The sequence below is a fragment of the Homo sapiens genome, chromosome 9 (assembly GCF_000001405.40).
Source record: "Homo sapiens chromosome 9, GRCh38.p14 Primary Assembly".
NCBI lineage: Eukaryota > Metazoa > Chordata > Mammalia > Primates > Hominidae > Homo > Homo sapiens.
The window spans coordinates 121,826,591-121,851,626 of record NC_000009.12 but is presented as its reverse complement, the minus strand read 5'-3'; the positions used below and the strand labels follow the sequence as shown (position 1 = coordinate 121,851,626).

Sequence of the window (25,036 nt, the reverse complement as noted above, 5' to 3'; positions counted from 1 at the left end):
CAGGTCTCCTGACTGTATCTTCTCCAGCAGGCTCTCTCCTAATGCAACTGCCGGTGATTGACGCCAACACCAGCTACATTTATCAAGCACCTAACACAGGCCAGGTGCTGTAAAAGCCTTTTTTAAAAAATTAATAGGCTTAATATTTTTAGAACATATAGTTACAGAAAAAATTGAGCAGATAGTACAGAATTCCCATGCACTCTCCCATTCCCATGCACACAGTTTCCTTATAACACCATCTTGCATGATTGTGCTGTTATAATTAATGGAAAAACCTTGGTATATTATGATCGACTCAAGTCTGTAGTTTGCATTAAGGTTCACTCTTTGTGTTGTACAGTTCTGTGGGATTTGACATTTGACAAATGTAGCCACCATTACAGTGTAATACAGAATAGTTTCACTGCCCTAAAAATTCCCTGTGCTCCCCCTGTTCAGCCCTCCCCTCCGTGAGCGCCTGATCTTTTTACTCTCTATAGTTTAGCCTTTTTCAGAAAGTCATATTGTTGGAATCATATCGTATCTAGCCTTTTCAGACTGGCTCTTTTCACTTAACAATATGCATTTAAGGTTTCTCCATGTCTTTTATGGCTTGCCAGCTCATTTCTTTTTATCTCTGAATAATAGTCCATTGAACAGATATGCCACAGTTTGTTCGTCTATTCACTGACTGAGATACACCTTGCTTGCTTCTAGTTTTTGGCAATCATAATTAAAGCTACTATAAACATTCGTGCGTGGGTTTTGTGTGGACATAAGTTTGTAGCACGATTGGGCAATTACCAAGGACGTGATGGTTGGATTGTATGGTGCAATGGTTAATTTCAGGTGTCTACTTGACTGGAGTAAGGGATACCTAGAGAACTGGTAAAGCATTAGTTCTGGGTGTGTCTGTGACAGTGTTTCCATAGGAGATTGGTGTGTGAGTTAGTGAACTGGATGGCGAAGATTCACTCTCAATGTGAGTGGGCACCATCCAATCAGCTGGGGGCCCAAATAGAACAACAGCAACAAAAAGGCCAAGATGACTCTCTTTCTCTTTCTCTCTCTCTCTTGCCCACCACCTCCCCACTCCTCCCCCTTCACTGCTCCCTCATGGAGCTGGGACACTCTTCTTCTCCTGTCTTTGGACGTCAGAACTCCAGGTTCTCTGACCTTTGGAATCCAGGACTTACACCAGGTCCTCCCCTCACCCCCACCCCTCCAGCTCCAACTACTTAGGCCTTAGGCCTGGGACTGAGAGTTACACCATTGGCATCTCTTGTTCGTGGGCCATCAGACTTGGACTGAGCCACACCACTGACTTCCTAGGGTCTCCACTTTAAAGATGGTCTGTTGTATGTGGGACTTCTCAGCCCTGAGCCAATTCCCCTAATAAATCCCCTTTCACATATCCATATCTATGAATATCTATATCTATCTCTGTATCTATCTACATCTGTATCTATTTATCTCTCTGTCTATATATATATGCAGTGAGTCTTCCATATCCATGCATTCCACATGTGCAGATTTAAATCAGCCATGGATTGGTAGGTTTTTTTTAAGAAAAATAAAAAATAATATAACAATTTTAAAAATACAAATAAAAAATACAGTGTAACAGTTACATAACATTTACATTGTGTTAGGTATTATAAGTAATCTAGAGATAATTTGAAGTATACAGCAGGATGTGCATAGGTTATATGCAAATACTACACCATTTTATATAAGGAACTCGAGTATCTGCAGAATTTGGTAGCGGTGGGGTTACCTGGAACTGATCTCCTGTGGATGCTGAGGGACGCCAGACTGTCTTCCAAAGTAGTAGTACCATTTTGCATTCCTACAGTAATCAATGAGAGTTCTTTTTGCCCCACATCCTTGTCAACACTTAGTGTACTCAGTTTTTTGGATTTAGCCATTTTGATAGGTATATAGTGCCACCTCATTGTCTTACTTTGCAATTCCCTAAAGACATTTGATGTTGAGTATCTTTACATACGCTTATTTGTCATCTGTATAACTTCTTTGGTGAGATGTCTGTTCAGCTCTTTTGCCCATGTTTTAATTGAGTTTTTTTAATTGTTGAGTTTTAAGAATTCTTTGTATATTTTGGAGACAAGTTCTTTATCAGATATATATTTTGCATATACTTTTCTCCCAGTCTGTGGCTTATCTCATTTTCTTAACAATGTCTTTTCAGAGGAGAAGTTTTTAATCTTAATAAAGTTCAACTTAACAATTTTTTTCCTTCATGAATCTTGCTCTTGGTCTTGTGTCTAAAATTTTATAGCCAAACCCGAGGTCATCTAGATTTTCTCCCATATTATCATCTAGAAATTTTATAGTTTGTATTTTACACGTAGGTCTGTGATCCATTTTGACTTCATTTTTGTGAAAGGTGTAAGTTCTGTGTTTAGATTCTCTTATTTATTTGTTTTGCTTATTGATGCACAATTGTGCCAGCACAGCTTGTTGAAAAGACTAACCTCTCTACATTGAATTGCATTTACTCCTGTGTCAAAGATCAGTTGACTATATTCACAGGGGCCTACCAGGACTCTCTCTTCTGTTCCATTGGTCTAGTTACCTATTCTTTTACTAATACCATACTGTTTTGATTACTAGAGCTTTATAGTAAATTTTGGAGTTGAGCAGTGTCAGTCCACTGACTTGGTTCTTTTTCTTCTTCAGTGTTATGTTTGCTATTCTGGTCTTTTGTCCTTTCATATAAATTTTGAATTAGTGTGTCAATATCCACAAAATAACTTGCTGGGATTTTCATTTGGATTGTGTTGAATCCATAGATCAAGTCAGAAAGAACAATAATGATCTTCCTATTCATAAACATGAAGTAGCTCTTCATTTATTTAGATCTTCTTTTTATTTCTTTCATCTAAGTTTTCTAGTTTTCCTCATATAGATCTTGCACATATTCTCTTAGATTTATACCTAAATATTTTATTTTATTTTGGTGCTAATGTAAATGGTTTTAACTTCAAATATGTTTTTAATTTCAAATTCCATTTGTTCATTGCTAATATATTTTTAAAAATTGACTTTCCTATAATAACCTTGTATCCTTCAAACATACTATAGTCATTTGTTACTTCAGGAGGTTTCTTTGTCAATTCATTGGGATTTTCTACATTGACAATCCACTGAACACAGAAAATTTTATTTCTTCCTTCCAAATCTCTATACCTTTCATTTCCTTTTCTTGTCTTACTGCATTAGCTATGACTTCTAGTCCAATGTTGGACAGGAATGGTAAGGGGGGGGACTTTTTCTTCCTGATGTTAAGAGGCAAGCGTCTAATTTATTTCCATTAAACTATAAGATTTTTTTGTAGATATTGCTTTATCAAGTTGAGGAAGTAATCGCATTGGTCATGGTATATGATTCCTTTTTTTTTTTCTTTTTTTTTCCTTAGCGATAGGGTCTTGCTCTGTTGACCAGGCTGGAGTGCAGTGACACAATCTTGGCTCATTGCAGACTCAAAGTCCTGGGCTTAAGTGATCCTTCTGCCTTAGCCTCCTGAGTGGTTAGGGCTACAGGCATGTGCCCCCACACCTGGCTAATTTATTTTTAAAAATTTTTTGTAGAGACTGGGTCTCACAGGATTGCCCAGGCTGGTCTCAAACTCCTGGACTCAAGCAATCCTCCTACTTTGGCCTCTTAAAGTGTTGGAATTATATTGGTGCCCAGCCTGTGATTCAATTTGCTGATATTTTATTGAGGGTTTTTGCATCTATGCTCAAGAGGAATATTGGTATGCAGTTTTTCTTTCTGGTAATATCATTATCTGGTTTAGGTATTAGGGTAATGCTGGCCTCACAGAATGAGTTAGGAAGTGTTTTCTCTGCTTCTGTATTCTGAAAGAGATTGTAGAGAATTTGTATCATTTCCTTCTTAAACGTTTGTTAGAACTCACCAAATGAAGCTAGCTGGCATGGTGCTTTCTTTTTTGAAAAGTTATTGATTATTCATCTAATTTCTTTAATAGATAAAGGCCTATTCAGATTATCTGTTTATTCTCGTGTGAGTTTTCATAAATTATTTCTTTCAAGGAATGGATCTATTTTATCTAATCAAATTTGTAGACATAGACTTATTTGTAATATTTCTTTATTTTCCTTTTAATATCCATGGGATAAGTAGTGATAGTGATGATCCCTCTTTCATTTCTGATATTAGTAATTTGTAATTACTAATTAGTAATCTAATAACCTTTTCTCTTTCTCTGTTGTTGCTTTTTTTGTTTGCTTTTGTTTGTTTGTTTTTGGTTAGCTGGGCTAGAGATTTATCAATTTTATTGATCTTAAGGCTTTTCAAAGAACCAGCTTTTGGTTTTATAGATTTTCTCTATTGCTTTCTTCCTATTTTTAATTCATTAATTTGTGTTCTGATTTTTTTTTTTTTTTTTTTTTTGAGACGGAGTCTCGCAGTCTCCCAGGCTGGAGTGCAGTGGTGCGATCTCGCCTCACGGCAAGCTCCGCCTCCCGGGTTCACGCCATTCTTCTGCCTCAGCCTCCCGAGTAGCTGGGACTATAGGCGCCAGCCACCACGCCTGGCTAATTTTTTGTATTTTTAGTAGAGATGGGGTTTCACCTTGTTAGCCAGGATGGCCTTGATCTCTTGACCTCGTGATCCGCCCGCCTCGGCCTCCCAAAGTGCTGGGATTACAGGCGTGAGCCACCGGGCCCGGCCTTGTGTTCTGATTTTTATTATTTCTTTCTTTCTGTTTGTTTTGGATTAAATTTACTTTTTTCCTAGTTTCCTAAAATGGAAGCTTATTGATTTTAGATCTTTCTTCTTGTCTAATCTATTGCTATAAATTGTTCTTCTAAGCACTAATATCACTGGATCCCACAAATTTCAATAATTTATATTTTAATCTTCGCCTAGTTTAAAATATTTTTAAATATCTTTTGAGATTTTTTTGGACCTATATGTTGTTTAGACATGTGCTACTTATTCTCCAAATATCTGGGGACTTCTCAACCGTCTTTCTGTTATTGATTTTTAGTTTAATTCTATTGTGGCCTGAGAGAATTTTTTGTATGATCTCTATTCTTTTAAATGTGTTAAAAAGGTGTGTTTTGTGGTCTAGAATGTAGTCTGTCTTGGTGAATATTTCATTTGAACTGGGAAGAATGTATATTCTACTCTTGTTGGATAAAGTATTGTATACATGTCAATTAGACATAGTTGATTGATGGTGCTGCTATGTTCAACTATACCCTTACCAATTTTCTGCCTGCTGGATCTGTCAGTTACTGATAGAGGGGTGTTGAAGTCTCCACCTATAATAGTAGATTTATCTATTTTTCTTTGTAGTTCTATCAGTTTTGTCTCACATATTTTGACACTCCATTGTTAGGTGCATACATGTTAAGGATTATTATGTCTCCTTGGAGAATTGTCCCTTTATCATTATTACTCACCTTTATCCCTGATAATTTTCCCTGTTCTGCAGTCTGCTTTGTCTGAAATTAATATAGCTACTGTAACTTTCTTTTAGTTAGGGTTATCATGATATATCTTCCTCCAACCCTTTGCTTTTTTATCTATCTTTTTTTTGTTGTTTTTACATTTAAAGTGTGTTTCTTTTTATCTTTAAGCTGTGTTTCAGTTGGGTCTCGTTTTTTAATCCTCTCAACAGTCTCTGTCCTTTAATTTATTTAAACCATTCACATTTAAAATACTTATTGATATAGTTGGATTGATACCTATCAATGTTTGTAACAGCTTGCTATTCACTGACTTGTTCTTTGTTTCTGTTTTTACTTCTCTTTTCTGCCTTTTCTGGTTTTAATAGAGAATTTTGTATAATTCCACTTTATCTCCTCTTTTAGCTTAGCAATTATACTCCTTTTTAAAAATAGTCATTATCCTAGAGTTTACAATTAGTTTCCAGCTAATAAGTCCATTTTCAAATAACACTATACCCCTTTAACAGATAGTGCAGGTACTTTATAACAGAGAACTTCTGATTTCTCTTTTCCATGCCTTATAACATTGCTGTTATTCATTTCACTTATCCCCAAGCTATAATCACCCAATGCAGTGTTGCTATTATTACTTTGAACAATTATCTATTAGATCAATTAAAATTAAGAAAAAACATTTTATTGTATCTTCTATTATTTATTCTCTAATGCTCTTCCTTTCTTTATGTAGATCTGAGTCTCTGGCCCATATCATTTTTCTGTTCTCTGAAATTTGTTTTTAAATATTTGTTACAAAGCAAGTCTATTGGCAACAGATCCCTTCAGTTTTTGTTTGTCTGAGAGTGTATTTCTCCTTCATTTCTGGAGGATAATTTCACTCCATACAGAATTCTAGGTTGGTGGGGTTTCTTTTTCTAATACTTTAAGTATTTCACTCCACTCTCTTCTTGCTTGCATGGTTTTAGGTGAGATGGCTGGTGTAATTCTTGTCCTTAAGGCATTATATATACCTTACCTAAGGCATATATACCTTACCTGTATAGGTAAGGTATTATTTTTCCTCTCTGGCTTCTTTCAAGATTTTCTCTTTGTCTCTGGTTTTCTACAGTTTAAATATGATTTTCTCTAGGTGTAGATTTTTGTTATTTGTCCTGCACGGTTTTCTGTGAGCTTTCTAGATCTGTGGTTTTGGTGTCTGTCTGTAATTTTGGAAAATTCTCAAATATTACGGCTTCAAATCTATCTTCTGCTCCCTTCATTCTTCTCCTTCCGATATTCTCATAACATATATTTTGTACTTTTTGTCATTGTCCCACTGTTCCTGGATAGTCTCCTTTTTTTCAGTATTTTTTTTCTTTAATTCATTGTTTCAGTTTAGGACATTCCTATTGACATATCTTCAAGCTCACTGATTCTTTCTTTGACTGTATCCAATCTGCTGATGGGCCCATTGAGAGCCTTCTTCATTTCTGTTATAATGTTTTTTATTTCTAGCATTTCTTTTGGATTCTTAGAGTTTCCATTTCTCCTTACATTTTCCATCTGTTCTTGAATGTTGCCTACTTTTTCCATTAGAGACTTTAACATATTAATCATTATTTTGTATTCTCCATTGGATAATTCCAACATCTGTGTCATACTTGAGTTTGTTTCTCATGCTTGCTTTGTCTCTTTGCACTGTATATTTTCCTGCCTTTTAGCAGGTCTTGTAATGTTTTGTTGAAAGCCAGCCATGAAGTACCTGATAATAGGAACCAAGGTAATCAGGCTTTCAGTGTGAGGTTTTATATTTATCTTTCTAGGAGCTGGGCTGTGTTTAATGTTTGCTGTAGTCATAGGTGCCAGAAGCTTCGGTTTCCTCCAATTGTTTTTTTTGTTTTGTTTTTTTTTCTCTCCCTATTGCCTTCGTATTTCCTTAAAAACTCCTTAAATGGAATCTTTTTCTTGGATCTCTCTCAATTGGAATCCACTGTTATTGCACTGGAGTGAACCCTGCTGATGTGGTGATAAGGTGCTGGGTAGAGAAACATTTTACAATCTTGAGATTAAATCTGTTCCTAGTGGGCTTGAGTCCATGGGCTGTGACTTTCAGAAGTGCTTCTTAGCCCCTTTTTTCTCCCTTTATGTGTGAAAACTAGAAAGGCTAGAAAAGCTAGAGTTACCTAATTGCCCTTCCCCTAGGTCAGATCAGCCTCTACTAAAGTAGTTTCTGGCTGGGTGTGATGGCTTACACCAAGTAATCCCAGCACTTTGGAAGGCTGAGGCAGGAAGATCATGTGAGTTTAGGAGTTCGAGATCAGCTTACGCCGCACAGTGAGACACCTGTCTCTACAAAAAATTTTAAAAATAGCCAGGTGTGATGTCACACGCCTGTAGTCCCAGCTACTTGGGAGGCTGAGGTAGGAGGATGGCTTGAGCCCAGGAGGTCAAGGCTGCAGTGAGCTGTGGTTGCACCACTGCACTCCAACCTGGGTGACAGGGCAAGACCCTGTCTCTAATAATAATAATAATAACAAAAAATAAGTAAATAAATAATAGTTTCCCGCATTAGCAGGCCTTTGTTATGGAGAGTGCTCTAGGCATATTCCAAAATGGTTACCTCCCCCACCCCTTTCTGAAGCATGAGAAGATTTTCTCTAATCTTTTTCTTGAGAACCTGGTGGGGCTCCTGGAGCCCCACTCACAAAAAGGTGGGAGACCCCCTAAGACTGGCCCCCAGGCGTTTTTAACTCAACCTAGTTAAAGGTTGAGCCTCACACTGTCTCTAGCAACTCATCAATTACGAGTGAAATGTTCTTATCAGCTCCTGGCTCCAGAAGCTTCTGCTCCTGGTAAGCTGAACTCAGCTGTGATTCTCTATATTCACAGGTCTCAATGGTTTTTAGGGTGGTGGCTTGTCCTGTGACCTCAGTACTCATGGATCTTAGAAAAGTCATTGATTTTTCAATTTGTTCAGCTTTTTTTTATTGTTGTAAAGATGGGAGTGACTACTTCTCTCATTTTTTTTTTTAAATAAAGATGGGGGTCTCACTATGTTGCTGAGGCTGGTCTTGAACTACTGCGCTCAAGGGATCCTCCAGCCTCGGCCCCCATAGTGCTGGGATTACAGGTATATGTCACTGTGCCCAGCCAGGAGCAATGACTTCTAAGCTCTTTATGCGTCAGAGCTGAAACTAAAAGTCCTCTGTTAGCATTTCGCACATCTCCCAACAATCCTGAGATTTAAGCTCTGTACTCCAGGTTACAGAGAAGAAAGCTAAGGCTCAGAGAGGTTAAATAATGTGTCCAAGGTCACCCAGCTCGTGAGTGGTAGAGCCATAATTCTTTGTCTTTAGATTCTAATGGTCTTTGAGAAACTGCAGCAATGACCAACATTCCAGAAGTGTTTACCTTTCAGAGATTCTCCGGGGAAATCTGGGCTTACTCATTTAACCCAAGAGAGCAGAGAGAATCTCACAAACCATCTGATCAGTTATTTGTCATCAAAAAATGCCCAGGTTACCCAAGACAGAGACTCATCTGGCCCATAGGAGCCACCTTCAGAATTCATGGGTAACATTTCCTACATATTCACCTTATTCATCTTACTGACATGGAATCATAGTGTTCAAAAGTAGAAGGGGGCCAGGCACACAGTAGCTCATGCCTGTACTTTGGGAGGCCAAGGCAGGAGGATCACTTGAGCCCAGGAGTTTGTGACCAGCCTGGGAAACATAGCGAGACCCTGACTCTACACACACATACACAAAGTTACAAAAACATTAGCCAGGCAGGGTGGCATGCACCTATAATCCTGGTTACTTAGAATGCTGGGGCAGGAGGATTGCTTGAGCCCAGGAACTTGAAGCTGCGGTGAGCTATGATTACATCACTGCACTCCAGTCCTCCAGCCTGGGTGACAGAGAGAGACCACGTGTCTTTTTTTTTTAAAAAAAAGGAGAGGGAGCCCTAAAGATCATCTCTTTCAACCCCCTTGTTTTACATGTGAGGGACTCTGAGACCCTAGCAAAGTATTGGAAGAAGCACCGACTGTCCATTGACTTTCTACATCCCCAGCCTGCTCTTTTTCCAGATGTTTTAAGCAGTAAGTTAGACACATTCCTTTTTGAGATAGTCCACAAATATGTGATGAAATATACCCTGTCCTTTGCCCCCTGAGAGGTGGAAGAAGGCAGGCACATGCTCTCGGGGAGCTCTGCATCTCGCTGGAAGAATTGGGACACTTCCAGTGGTCAGGCATCCATGTCTTCCCTGAAGTCTAGAGAGACGAGTGGTTCTCAACTGGGGACAATTTTAACTCCCAGGGGGACATCTGGCCACGATTTGAGACATTTTTAGTTGTCATACTGGGGGAAGGGAGTTGCTATACTGGCATCTAGTGGGTCAAGCCGACGGCTGCTGCTAGACAACCTGAAATGCACAAGACAGACCCCCACAACAAACAATGGTCTGGCCCAACGATAATAATCATTGGGCTTTTCCCCTTCAGCTTCCTGGGCTGCTGTAACAGTTCTTCGTGCCCCACCACAGCCACACCATGCAGCTGCCACGTGACTCAGGGCAAAGATGTGTCCTCAGCCCGGGAGGCCCCAAGCAGCCTCTAGAGAAAGGGAGCTCACCTCGTCTGTTCCACGAGACCTTACATGACTGAGTGCGTTCTTCTTGGTAGCAGGTGGGAGTCTCTGCCCACACTTCCCCACTGATCACATCTGCGAAGGGAGGAGGAAGCCTTACATAAGCGCAGCCTCAGAGAACCTTCTGTCATTTTGGCAACACAGGGCCTGGAGAAGCCCCTCCCTTCCAAAATCTCATGGGGAGCACGGTTCTGTTCTGAATGGGCGCTGGAGGGTTTGCCTGCTACCTGCAGGATACAGGTACATCTGAGCTCTTTAGCCTTTGAGATTAGACTTGCCAGCCTCATCTCCATCCTCCACAACCACAGCCCCCATTCCCGCCACACTCTTCGCCCACACGTCCTGTGCTGCTTGGGGCCAGCCAACGTGCTTCCATCGTGGGGCCTCTGCTCATGGTGTCTCCTTCCTGTAACATCCCTCCCTGCCTTGATTGCCTGCACAAGGCCCATGGGTGAGACGGTTGTCTGTGAAGCTTCCAGACCCTTCTCCCTGCCCTCCCTGCCAAACAGCCATGCTCTCTCCTTGCTCTGTTGATTCCAGGCACACCTCCCCAGCCGTCATAGCTCGCTGGATCAGAAGTATTTGTAGGTGTCTTATCCCCTTTCCACCTGCTCCCAGTGGAGGCCAAGTGCCTCGTGCCAGTGCCTGATTCATGTTTGGGGCCCAGGGCCTAGCACAGGGAAAGCTTATTGAATAATCAAGCAAGTGAGTGAACAAATAGGTAGATGGGGTCTCACTAGGCTCCTTACTCTCAGAGTGACAACTTCCAGGACCTCATGGTTCCCTATTGGTCACCTGGTGTCTGGACACAGGCCACGTGGCCTCAACTCTGCCTCCTCATTGAAACTGTATGATCAGCTGGGCATGGTGGCTCATGCCTGTAATCCCAGCACTTTGGGAGGCTGAGGCAGGCAGATCACTTAAGGTCAGGAGTTCAAGACCAACCTGGGCAACATGGTGAAACCCCATCTCTACTAAAAATACAAAAAGTAGCCAAGCATGGTGGCAATTGCATATAATCCCAGCTACCTGGAAGGCTGAGGCAGGAGAATCGCTTGAACCTGGTAGGTAGAGGTTGCAGTGAGCCAACATCAAGCCACTATACTCCCTCCAGCCTGAGTGACAAAGCGAGACCCTGTCTCAGAAAAGAAAAAAGAAGCTGTATGATCTTGAACAAGTCACTTGCCCCCTCCAGCCTGTGCATCCATCGGTAGCCAGCTGTCACATCGCAGCGCACTGTGTTCCATGCATCCGAGGATACGTGGTGGTCCCAAGTTGGGGAGGTAATAGATCTTAACCGAGTTCAGGACTGTCCCTAATTCTTCTCTTGCGGTTGCCCTAACTGGCCCCCAGATAGCACTGCTCCTAGGCATGAATACAGTGAAAGAAACATTTTCGTGCACTAATAAAATTACCTTCTGTAAAGAAGGCAATTTGCATGTTAATGTTTTGGGTGATTCGATGCAGCTCCAGTGCCCTCCAGGCTGCAGTTTCTCTCTGACAAAGTGACAAAAATAAACTCCCGCATAAAAGAGCATTTCTCTTCTCTCTCATTTGTGCTCTAACGTGACATTCTTAATGTGAGTCAAGTTGAAACCCACTGCTCTGTCTTATTTTTGACACTGATCTGCCTCCTGTCACCGCTCCAAATGGCAGGCCAGCTTTGAAGAGCTCCTCAGAGGGGTCTCACCTTGAGGATAGGGCTCAGTCCACTTGGTGAGTGGGCACTGCTCTGCCCTGCCCAAGGCTGAGAAGGCTGAGGCTGAGGTCTTCTGGAGATTCTAGAAGGCCCCGCCAGTTAACTGCTGGACAGTCGGGGGGATGGGGAAGAGGGTTGCTGTTGGTGGCTGAGTTAGGGCCAATTTGCCCGTCTTCCAATTTGCCCATCTTTGGATAGAATGGGAATTCTGAGCCGCAGCCCTCCATGAGAATACTCTTTATTCTGCCAGGCTTGGCCCCTCTCATGACTTAAAGACAATCAAGAAAGAAGGCCATGTTTCCAGTGTGTCTTCCATGTGCCAGACACAGGCCCAGCCCCTTATGTCTGTTTTCTATCACTGAGCCCCCCAGAGCCGGGCAGGGTAGAAAGAAACTGAGGCTCCCAGCTGGGCAGTGAGTAAGCGAAGATCACCCCGCAATGTGTAAGAGGCCAACCCTGGATTTGAACTTAGGCATGTCTGATATCAAGCCTGGATTTTTTCTACCCTAAGTGGATCACCTAATGTTCAATGAGCCGCCCCTACACGCCAGGCACTGGGGGTGATGGGGACGTGCAGGGATGAACAGAACACCCAAGCCCTAGCACTGCTGACATCCGGTGGCCGAGGCAGACATTAAACATGGAAACGCAGAAATTGCATGTAATTAGACGTTGTGATGCGTTCTGTGAAATAAGTTTTAATGAGGAGGACAGAGAGGACCTCATTTATATTAAGAGGTGGATCAAAGAGATGTGTCAGTGAAGGTAATGCTGAGATGGAAGCTTCGCCAGGTGGGACTCAGGGTGTTCTGAGCAGAGGCCAGGGACCGGCCCCAAGGTGGGAATGCGGGGAGCAGGTTCTGCGAAATGAAGGCCCGCAGGGTGACGGGAGCAGGGGCGTGGGTTACAGCGGCAGCTGGAGAGGCGGGGCTCGATCCCTCAGAGCAGGGCAAGAAAGGTGGGCAGGGCAAGAAATGTTGTTGTTGAAGAGTTTAAAGTGGGGGAGTGCGTGGTTTGATCTATCTTTGCTTGCTTGCTTGCTTGCTTGCTTGCTTGCTTGCTTGCTTGCTTTCTTGCTTGCTTGCTTGCTTTCTCTCTTTCTTTCTCTCTTTCTTTCTTTCTTTTCTTTCTTTCTTGACAGAATCTTACTCTGTCACCCAGTCTGGAGTGCAGTGGCACAATCTCAGCTCACTGCAACCTCCGCCTCCTGGGTTCAAGCGATTCTTGTGCTTCAGCCTCCTGAGTAGCTGGGACTACAGGCACATGCCACAACGCCCTGCTAATTTTTGTATTTTTGGTAGAGACAGGGTTTCACCATGTTGGCCAGGCTGGTCTTGAGCTTCTGACCTCAGGTGATCCGCCCACCTCGGCCTCCCAAAGTGCTGGGATTACAGGCATGAGCCACTATGCCCAGCCCTGATTTGTGTTTCTAAAAGGTCATTCTGGATGCTGTATTGAAAGGGGCAATAGTGGAAACAGGGAGACCAGCGAGGAGGCTGTGGGGGCTTCAAGGGACGACAGCTGCTCAGGTGGGGGAGGGCAGGAGAGCAGAGGTTTATGGTCCTAGGGATGTGGAGGTGTTGAGAGGAGGTAAGAGAAGTCTCAAAAATGACCTCAGGCTTCTGGCTTGAACAACTAGGTGGGTGGAGAGACCATTTATTAAAATGGGCGAGACTCAAGGAAAAACAGAATTGGGAAGGGAAGACCAAGAGATTCATTTTTAACAGGCTAATGCGATATCCCAGTGGCAAAAAAGCAGGCTGGCCTGGAGACAATGATTTGGAGGGCATGGATTCATTGAAGGTATTTCAACCTGGGGAATGAATGACAGGAAGAGAGAGCGAGAGAGAGAGCCCTGTGGGGCCCACAGCAAGGAAAAGCAGACAGAAGCCAGCAAGAGAGAGAGAGCAAGAAGCAGGAGAGCGAGATGAAACAGACGTGGGAAGACCGTGTCTCCAGGAGGGAGGCTTCCACGTGGTCACATGCTGTGGGGAGAGAGCCAAGAGGAGCTCAGAGCTGACATGGGAGTGGAAGGTACCCAGGCGTTTGGCGTGAGCCCTTTGGGAGGAGAGACAGGGAGTGGACATCCTCTCTTGAGCTGGAAGGGAGGCTGTGGAGGCAGTGCCACCCCAGGAGGGAAGGGCAGTCTGGCTGAGAAGGGAACAGAGAGAGAGAGGATAGTGACAGGAAGGCAGGCTTTTCAACCACACAAGATCCCAGGGCTGGTTGATGGCAGATGGTGGCATTCAGGAGCAGGGGAGAAACTGACAAGCTGGGAGCATTAATCAGGACCGACTGTAGACAAACTCCCTTTCCTCCCCTCATCCCTCACCCCCACCCGCTCCAGGCCCACCTGCCAGACCGCCCACAGCACCAGCTCTGTTCCCTAACACCCTGAAAAAGCCCTTTCAAAGCACCAAGATTTTGTACTACTAGTTCCTCTCCTCAGAAAGATCTTCCTCCTCAGTGCTGATCCTTGAAGATCCCAACCCCAAGTTAATTTGGCAAGAGCTATCAAAACATACTAGTAAAAATAATACTTGACCCATAAGTTCCACTGGAAAGAGATGATTGCTCATTCAAGTATGTACTGATATATACACAAAGATGTTCATTGCACCATTATTCACAATATCAAAAAAAGAAGAAAACAGGAGAAAAGCATCCTAAGTGTCCATTAGTAGGGGAAGGATTTTAGAAACTCATGGTACATCTATACTATGGAATTCTATACAGTCTATAAACAACAGGGTAGATCTATATATGCTGACACGGAGAAGCGTCAAGGCATGGTTAAAATTGTGTAAGTGCAGTACGGTAGCTATAAGGTGATCCTATTTGTGTGCAAAATTATATGGATACAGATATTGATGCACACAGCAGTGCACATATTTCATTTTTATGCGTATATGCCAGAAATTGCAAACAGCATTCACTTCCAGCTCACAGGAATTGGAGGTCGCAAGGCAGAGGAGGGAAACAGGACCTTCACTTTCCACTACCTGTGCATTGCCTCTGTCTGAATTTTCTCACCATGTGCACCACAGGCACCCTGTAACCTATCCTGCCTCTTCCAGGCAATGACTTGCTTCTTCCTTTGTGTTCTAACACCCCCATCTCACGTTGGGTCATCCTACCCTCTCCCTGCTTCTCCCTGCCCTGCATCAGAGGAGGCTTGCCCATCTGTGAATCTGCACATTGAGGAGTCAGCCAGGGCTGGCAGAACTGAGTGGTCATGGTTACTGCCTTCTGAATCCTCAGATCCTCGTAGAGAAAGGCTGTGGTGATGGAAGAAGAGGTTGATTTACTCTGTGTTAAACTGGGGTGTCGGGGGAGGTTTTGCACATTTCAGCTCCCAGGCAGAGAGCAGAGAGCACATGGCAGTGAGAAGGGACCTCCTGGGGCAGTGGTGAGCTCCCCATCACTGGAAGCAACCAAGTTGGGGGGCTGGATGGCTGTTGTTAGCAATGTCAGGAAGGGCAACCCATGCCCTTCAGAATCTCACAGGGCAACTACAGAAAGCCACAGCGACAGGACCAGAAATCATGCTTTATCTGCCCTGGTTTTTTATCCCCACTACCAGCCCCAGCCTGGAGGACTCTGAGTGAATGGCTAGGTCTGCCCACACCCAACTAACACACAGAGCCCAAGACAAATGCAAAGCTTTGCCATATCACTAAACAAAGGCAAACAACCACAGACAATCAGGGGCCATAAAAGCATCTACCATCCAGATTTTGTTCTGAGGATTAAACAAAAGGTGCCCATAAAGTACTCACCACAGTGCCTGACACATATTAAGCACGTGTTGTATACAGACCACTCTTAGTAATCCCTCTTGTCATTCTGGGTGTTGTTGTTACCCTGCAAGGGCCTAGATTGTGTTATCTCTGAAGTCCTTTTTAAGCCAGAGATTTTGACCACTTGCTGAGGAATGAGTCCTGAGCCTCCAAAGGTTCTATAGGAGCCATTAATCTCTCGAGAAATGTCCACAACAGCATGAAGCAGTTGCAGGAAGCAGTGACTAGAACTGTGGCCCTGTCTTCCCAGATGGTGACTCAGGAACTTGTGTTCGTGTCATGATGGAATCAGGGGTGACGTTGGATGGGACTGGACTGAGACCTCTGGGCCACTCTGCTGTGGCCAGCAGTATGACCTGTGATTAATGAAATGATAGAAGAGTTGCTTTCACCTTTGATTATGTTTGTTATTTTGGTGCTGCTGGCTTCTGGGGGTAATGATTTTTCTGCAAGTTCTATTTATGGTCCAGTCGTGACACTTAATTAATTTCTCCATCCGGCCAAGGACAAAGGTGATAGTGACTTCTTGTTGCCGTAATGCTTAATACAATGACTGCACATGTGCAACTTCTGTTCCTGAGCTGGTGGGGTGGGTGGTGGCAGAAGCAAGGCTTTTTTCCTTGAGATTTCCATCTGGGTTGGGGGAGAACTGGTAGGGAGCAGCACCACCACTTACCACTCTCCAGTAGTGTGACCTTGGGCAGGTGGAGTGTGACCTTGGGCAGGTGCTTGGGTCTCCCTGAGCTCAGCACTTTCTCTAACAATGTGAGTATTGGCAGCCCAGTCTCTTAGGGTGGCAGTAGGACATGGTAATGCCGAGTGGGAATCCTGGTGGGCAGAATGTCCTCAGTAAACATGGACATTCCACTTCTTAAAATATTCAGAAGTCTACATCACTTCCAATACTTGTGGAATCCTCGGAGATCACTCCGTCCAGCCCCTCACTTTACAGAGGGGAAGCAAGTGAGGCCCTCTGAGGGAAAGTGACCAGTTCAAAGCCACACAGTGCACAGGGGTAGAGACCATGGAGATCCCAGGCCCCTTAACTCAGATTCCTGGCCTCATGAAACTCAGTCCAGCAGGGTGAAAAGAAATTGGCCAACTTCAGTAGGAGAAAATGAAACCACTATTGTGATAGCGCTCCAGGCCAGTGAGGTGAGAGAGCAGACTTCCAAGTGGGAAGATGATGGGAAGCACTTGTGCCACTATTTTTTTTTTTTTTTCCTGAGACAGAGTCTCACTCTGTCGCCCAGGCTGGAGTGCAGTGGCACAATCTCAACTCACTGCAACCTCCCTATCCTGGGTTCAAGCAATTCTCCTGCCTCAGCCTCCTGAGTAGCTAGGATTACAGGTGTGTGCCACCATGCCCGGCTAATTTTTGTATTTTTAGTAGAGACGGAGTTTCACCATGTTGGCCAGACTGGTCTCGAACTTCTGACCTTGTGATCTACCTGCTTTGGCCTCCCAAAGTGCTGGGATTACAGGCGTGAGCCACCGCGCCTGGCCTGTGCTGCCATTTTTTAAGCACTGTGTTGCTTTTTCTGTGTGGTACCTTGTGAAAAAAAAAAAAGCCACTCAGGGCAGCTATTACTATCCCCACTTTACAGATGCAGATACTGAGACCCAGAAAAGTAAAATGCCTTGACAGGCAGTAAGTGGGAGAGCTGGGACCCGGACCAGCTCATCTGAGTCCCTGTCCCTATTCATGGAGCTGAATGCCTTCTCCCTGGGAGATGCCCAGGTTTGATCTACCATGTGTAGAGTCCTTCGAGACCCCAGCCCCAGGCCTAGAGAGATTGTGGTCAAGTCTAGGGGAACCGTGCAGCAGCAGACAGGGAGCTGGGCTGCAAGATGCCCTAAGAATGGAGAGAAGGCTGAGATTCCTGTGATGAACCGCCTTGGAGTTTGTGCAGCCTTCACAGATAGCTCTTCTGGGGGCCATTTCACTACACAGATAGGAAGCACTAAGCTAATTCTAGTCAAGATCATTCAGCTTTATTTCCTACCAATGATTCCAAACAGCAAACTTGTATACTTATACATTTAGAATTGTACGATAAGACAGAAACATCTCTTCTAGGTGAGTAATAAGAAGGAGATTTAAAGACTGGGGAGAGAGAAGGGCTTGGCAAGTTTCTGTTTAAGCACCCCAATCCCAGGAAACAGAATTACTAGCAAGGAAGCTCAGGTATTTTTAAGAGGAAGAAAATATCTCATATTCAGTCTGGAATAATATCCCTGGCTGTCGACAATGATTTGGATTTAATTATATCATATATTCAAATGTGCTCTGTAAACTGTAAAATAATACATAAATGTCAGATGTTAAGAAAGCGTAATGTAGAAAAAAGAGTGTGGGCTTGAAAGTCAGCTACGCATGTAAATGCTGCCTCGCCCACCTAGACGATGACCTTGACAAGCCACTTAGCCTCTCTGGGCCTGTGTTCCTCAACTGTAAATGAAGAATACGCGTAAACATGTCCTCTTCCCACCATTACCCTGAGAAGTAGATGAGAAAAATGGATGTTCTTTGTAAACTGGAAAGTGCTATGCAGACGTAAGATAGGATTCTTGTTCCCATCCTTAAGCTGGTGAAGAGATGATGAGATTATTGGTGAGCAGCTCCCAGTGTTTTCATAAAGCCCTGAGTGCAACGATGCCTTCCCGGGAGTGGAGAGCAGGGGGCTTTGGCCTAGAAGGAGCTGGTGGGCCATCCTCACCCAGCCTATTGACAGAATGAGGCCATCGTTTGTCAGGGGCCGCCTCTTAATATCCAAGAGGCGGTCTCAGGTGAGAGACGTGCGGCTGGCTGCAACTGGAATGTTTCGAAGGCTGCCTTCTCTAGCAACATCTGTCAACCCAAATGAAGTTTAGAAAAATACTCAACAGCTTATCTTGTGGCATACAGGGCAGGTAGGGAAAGCCTGTTTGCAAAGACCAGCGAATCTAACTGCACCTTCTTGTTGACATCCAGCAGAGATAGATGAGGCTCCATCCCTCATTCGCTGCAAGGCCGGTATTGTTTTGTTCTAAATGACTGTAATTAACACTTGGTCAAATCTTTGAAAACTCCCCCCCAGTTTTTGTTTGTTTGTCTGTTTTTTGTTTTGTTTGAGATGGAATCTCACTCTGTTGCCCAGGCTGGAGTGCACTGATGCAATCTCAGCTCACTGAAACATCCGCCTCCTGGGTTAAAGTGATTCTCCTGACTAAGCTTCCTGAGTAGCTGGGACTTCAGGTGCGTGCCACCATGCCTAGTTAATTTTTGTATTTTTAGTAGAGACAGGGTTTCACCGTGTTGGTCAGGCTGGTCTCGAACTCCTGACTTCAGGTGATCCACCCACTTTGGCCTCTCAAAGTGCTGGGATTACAGGCATGAGCCACTGCACCTGGCCAAATCTTCGAAAACTCTCGAAGCAGCAGTGGAGTAAGGGACTTAAGAGCATGGTGGTTGGGGTCTGCCACCTACCAGCCATGCGATTGTGGCAAGTTTCTTGAATGTAAAATGGATTGTCAATACCCGCTTCCTAAGGTTTTTGTCTGATTAAATTAAATAATGTGAAGGCACCCCACAATCCAGGGCCTTCTACATAATGAGGGCTAAATAAATATGAATGATTACTGTTTACTTTCATTACTTTTACTTTTAAGGCAATGTTACCAAAGAGATCCTTTCAACTCCCAATCCAAGCTGTGAGGGGTTTTCTGAGTGCTGGCGAAGGGGCAGGGAAGAAGTGTAGGATTGCTTATATTTTTTTCTAAATGGCTCAGGTAAATTCAGAGACTTGAGTAGTAGTAGGAGAGTGTCCCCAAGAGCTAGGTGCACCTCAGCAGAACTGAGGGTTTGAGGGTGCTATGAACCAAATTGTGTCTCCCACCAAATTTATATGTTGAAATCCTAACTATCCTCCATGTGGCTGTATTTGGAGATGGAGCCTCTAAGGAATAATTAAGGTTAAATGAGGTCATAAGGGTGGGTCCCTTATTGAATAGGATTAGCATCCTGATAAGAAGAGACACCAGAGAGCCCAATCTGCCTCTCTGCCATGTGAGGACATGGCAAGAAGGCGGCCGTCTGCAAACCAGGAAGAGAGCCCTTACCAGAACATGACCGTGCTGGCACCCCAATCTCAGACTTTCAGCCTCCAGGACTGTGAAAGTAAATTTCTGTTGTTTAAGCCACCCAGGCTATGGTATTTTGCAGCCCGAGAAGACTAAGACCAGGAGCAGAGAGTGAACAGTGGGATTTCAGAGGATAAAGCTTGTTCTGTGTCCCCAAAGGCTCTTGATCACCCACAGCAGAGCCAGCCCAGTACCAGGTTTCTCAAAAACCATTCTTTTTTTTTTTTTTTTGAGACAGAGTCTCTCTCTCTTGCCCAGGCTGGAGTAAAGTGGCACAATCTCGGCTCACTGCAACCTCCACCTCCCAGGTTCAAGTGATTCTCCTGGCTCAGCCTCCCAGGTAGCTGGCATTACAGGCACCTGCCACCATGTCTGGCTAATTTTTTGTATATTTAGTAGAGACGGGGTTTCACTATGTTGGCCAGGCTGGTCTCGAATGCCTGACCTCATGATCCACCCACCTCGGCCTCCCAAAGTGCTGGGATTACAGGTGTGAGCCACTGGGCCCAGCCAGACCATTCTCTTAACTTCTTCACTCCACTGACTCCGATAGAGCCCTTCAAGAGATGGCCAAGTTGGCATGTTCATTCCATTTCCTGATCACTCACTGGGGCAGAAGCCCCAACGCTGCTGTTACAAATGCAGTTTCTGGGGCCTCATCGCCAACAGACAGAATCCCCAGGGTGAGGGAACAGGAACCTGCATTTCTGGCAAGGTCCCCAGATTATTTTATGTGTAAAATGTTTGAAAACCATTGACCTTGAGGGGAAGGCCAGTTTCCTCGGCCTGAGGTGTCAGAGGCCCTCCTGCATAAGATTGCTGGCTTGCCTTCACACCCACATCCAACCATGGGCAAACCTCAGATGCCACTGGCACTACCCTCGGACCATATCCAGTATCTAATCATCCCTCACCACCTCCACCAGTATCATACTGGTCCAAGCCACCATGTCAGCTCTCACTTGGACTGGTGCAGTAACCCCTGAATGGATCTCTTTGTTCTCACATGTGCCCCTACCACTGGGTTTCAACATAGCTTCCACAGTGACATGTCACTTCAGGACTCCCCAGTGACCTCCCATCTTCTTTATTTTGAAATCCAAAGTCCTGCCATGGTCTACAGAGCCCCCTGTGGCCTGGCCTTCTGGAACCTTCCAGGTCTCCTCTATCATAGCCCAGACAGGGAAGGGCAGGGCCTAGGAGATGGCATGGAGAATGTTCTCTCCTACTTAGTGGGCAAGCAGTGATGCTGGAAGAATCTGGGGCTGTGCGGTTTCTCAGAAAGGACTTAATGTGCAGTTGGAACCATTCCATGGCTTTTCAGCTCCATCATTAGTCTTTTAAAAATAACTGGTTGGGTTTGCTCTCAATCAGAGTGTCTTTAAAATGTAGACATTTTTAGCCCAAAGTCAAGCTTCTCTCAGTTTGGGGGCAGGTCCTTTTGCAAATAAGCCCCGCTTTGCAGATGGGCATTCCAAGTGAAGTTTATACAGACTGGACTGTGCAGTGGGGAGCAGGGAGGGGAAGGAGCGGGATTCAGCATCACCTGGGATCTTGTGAGAGATGCAAACTCCCAGCCCCACCTCAGCCCTCTGAATCAGAAACTGTGGGGCTGGACCCTCCATCTGTATTTTAACAAGCCCTCTGGGAGTTTCGAAAGTTCGAGAGCCTCTGGTCTGGATCATTGCGGTTTCATAAGTCTGCAAATCTTCTAAGAGAAGGGTTTCCATGGGTCTCTTTTCTCTTTGCCCCTTGGCTTACCTCAGTGTCCTCAGCTACAAAGTGGGCATAATAACACCTGCATCACACGACTGTTACAAGGTTCACATTCTATTCAGTGGATTAAATGCATCTTTATTGGTGCTCACTGTGTGCCAGGCTATGCTGGGCTCTGGGAATGTAGAGAAGACAGGGACATGGTCCCCACCTGTAGGAGCAGAGTCTCATTAGAGAGACAGCCATGTACCCATGGATTTATCCTAGTATATGATAAGAAACAAGAAGAAGCACCATGAAGGGTGATTAACTCCACCTGGGGATGGTCAAGGACAGATTCCCAGAACCAGTGACCTCAGAGGCTAGGTTGGGGGTATTTTTAAAATTGTGTGTGTGTGTGGTGTGTGTGTGTGTGTGTGTGTGTGTGTGTGTGTGTGTGTACTTGAATTATTATCAACAACGAGCATGCATTATCTTATTTGGAAAATTCAGAAAAGAATGAAGATATTAAAATACCCTATAAGTCTAGCACTGCCTTCCCCCATGCCCCGTGGTACTATAAATAAGTTTGCAATGAATACCATTGTATACATTGTTTTCCTTTGGAAGGAATATTTTCTTAGGGAAAATTCCTAGGATTGTGATCACTGTGTTCAATGATATAAACACATTTATTTTTTGTTTTTTCCTCCTTACCTCCCTAATAAACCTTTGAATGGCTCTTAAAACTTTCGCCAAATTGCTTTTCAAAAGTCTATAGCCATTTCACCACTACCTCTCATTATCAGTATTTAATACTTTTGTTAGTTTACTTGGTGAGCAATAGCCCCTGTGGCTTGGATGGGGCCGGATGTCTTCTCTTTTATTTGCCGATATATGTGAATTGCCCATTCATGTGCTTTGTCCATTTGGGTACTCTATGAGATTTTCTTTTTAAAAATTTTTTTGAAGACAGGGTCTTGGCTGGGCACGGTGGCTCACGCTTGTAATCCCAGCACTTTGGGAGGCTGAGGTGGGTGGATTGCTTTAGGTCAGGAGTTTGAGACCAGCCTGGCCAAGGTGGTGAAACCCCATCTCTACTAAAATACAAAAAAATTAGCTGGGCATGGTGATGGGCACCTGTAATCCCAGCTACTAGGGAGGCTGAGTCAGGAGAATTGCTTGAACCCAAGAGGCAGAGGTTGAGCCAAGATCATGCCACTGCACTCCAGCCTGGGTGACAGAGCGAGACTCCGTTTCAAAAAAAAAAAAAATACAGGGTCTTGTCTGTTGCCCAGGCGGGAGTGCTGTGGTGTGATCATAGCTCACTTCAGCCTCAAATTCCTGGGCTCAAGCGATCCTCCTGCCTCAGCCTCCCAATGTGCTGGGATTACAGGGTTAAGCCATCTCACCCAGCCTCTGTAAGGTTTTAGGTATTTTTAACATGAAGTCAATTACTAAACTAACCTTACATTTATTAAAAACAAAAACAACCACCCAGGTCCCAAGGGTTTTATTGTAAGGGAATAAATGAATCATAAATAAAAACAATGAAATACCAAGTGTTGATTATAATATTCTCAACAATAGTGAGCAAATGTAAATAGTCTTTGTGTTCAACAGGGACGGGGTGGTGAAATGGCATAGAAGGCAAAAATTTGATGGACAGTTATGCAACCATTAAAATAATGGTTATAAAGGCTGCATAGCAACATACAAAAATGTTAATGATATAATTTTAAGCAAAATGAAGTTCCGTGTGGCCAGCCATGGTGGCTCATGCCTGTAATACCAGCACTTTGGGAGGCCAAGGTGGGCGGATCAGTTGAGGTCAGGAGTTTAAGACCAGCCTGGCCAAGAAGGCGAAACCCCCATCTCTACTAAAAATACAAAAAATTAGCCAGGTATAGTGGTGCATGCCTGTAATCCCAGCTACTCAGGAGGCTGAGGCAGGAGAATCGCTTGAACCTGGGAGGTGGAGGTTGCAATGAGCCGAGATCTCACCACTGTCCTCTAGCCTGGGAAACAGAGCGAAACTCCATCTCAAAAAAAAAAAAAAAAAGTTCAATGTGTGTTATCACTAAGTGACAATACATCTTCCTGTGGACAAAGAGTAAGGGTGGAAGGTCATTCCGCAAGAACATGTAAGTGCTGGAGGGAAGGCCATGCATGGGCTCTATGGCACTTTCTGCTAAGACTCTCATTATATGTTGTTATAATAAATAAAAAATAAGGAAGGCGAAAGCCCCAGTTCTGCCTGGCAGAACGTCAACCATTGTGGAGGCTCTGGAAAAGGCTGGAAACTGCAGCCAGAGGGGACAGTCCAGAGCCTGAGCTTGACTCTCAGGGGGAACCCCAGCAGCCCTGCTCCTGCAGCGTAACTTGAATCATCTGAGTGCGCTGACTCCTCCTCCCCGCCCAATCCCCACCCCCTTGAAACCTTCAAAAGGTTACGTTCTCTGAAGCTCAGTGAATATTGGCCTGGGTCTGACCACCGTTTCCTGCGCCACCTTGATGAATTGAGGATTAAAGCCAATATCTAGTCAAACTCAAAGGGCTATTAGAATGGGCCATTGTGGGACCAGAGGCCCATATGCTCATGGCGTGCAGTTTGGGGCATCCCCGCGTCCCCCCACACTCACTGGCACGCATTCAATAGGACCGTCTGTCAGTGGAGACAGCCCATGGCCAGAGAAGTGATTGGTTTGATTTTGCGTTCAGTTTCTTTTTGGAGGGGGAGATGTGGTTTGAGGGTACCCTGGGCTCCAGTCCCAGAGCTGGGGTCGAGCCCTGTTCCTGTCAGTTGCTGAGTGTGACTTGGGGGCCTCAGGTACTTCCCGTCCCCACCCTTCGGCAAAATGCAAATGCTAAACAAGGGTTCAAGGGCCTCAGGGTGACGGTGATTGTGCTGCTTGTGAAGATCCAAGGGCCCCGAGGGGTGAGGGGCTGTGTGGCAGGCCTGTAAGCCACCATTCACCTGACCTAAACAGAGAGGGGAGAAGGGTCCCTTTACCTGTCTGGCATACTGGACTCCCTCGGAAGATTTCACTTAAGAAATAAAACAAGAGAAGAAAAAGAAAACCCTCACAGTTTCTATCACTATAAAAAAAAATGGTTAGAAATCATCAGACTAGAAAATGTGATCAGACTGTTATGGGTCCAAACCCATGGGACTCGGATCACGCGGGCCTTGCCCAGCACCTGCAGGGGCTCCCAATGGCTTCATCTGACATTGACCCCAGCCCCACAGTGACCACCGGTGCTCTCTGGGTTTAGTCCCTTTGGCCTCTTCCCCAGCCTGTCCTGTGGCAGGCCCCTGGGCCATCCACCCTGCCTCCCTGCCCCACAGGTCCCTGCTCTCAGCCCAGTCGACCACCCCCAGCACATCTCTGCCCATCCAAGCCCTCCTCATTCTGCAAGGCCCCACTGTCATGCCCACTTTGCCAAAAGCCTCCACCGATGCCCCCAACCCCTAGATCCTTCAAGGTGCTGGGTTCAGTGTTTCCTGCAGGTTCTACCGTTTCCATCCTCAGGCACCCTTGGCACGGATGCTCCAGAGGGTTTCTGGGAATAAGGTGCAGAAGCAGCAGTGCATGAGGATTGGGTTCAAATCCCAGCCCTGCCAAAAGTAACCCTGGTATAAAA

The 25,036-nt window shown here is 44.7% G+C and overlaps 1 protein-coding gene across 4 annotated transcripts in view, besides 1 other annotated feature; it reads left to right on the top strand.

Annotated features, from left to right (window-relative positions):
- TTLL11 (tubulin tyrosine ligase like 11) overlaps positions 1-25,036 on the top strand; it is a 277,635-nt gene that overhangs the window by 241,682 nt on the left and 10,917 nt on the right. The window lies entirely within an intron of this gene.
- Positions 23,606-24,377: an enhancer, noted in NCBI's record as "H3K4me1 hESC enhancer chr9:124589529-124590300 (GRCh37/hg19 assembly coordinates)". NCBI's record gives its function as "activates a minimal SCP1, AML or CMV promoter by ChIP-STARR-seq in primed H9 embryonic stem cells {active_cell/tissue: H9 hESC(primed)}" and the evidence as "EXISTENCE:reporter gene assay evidence [ECO:0000049][PMID:30033119]".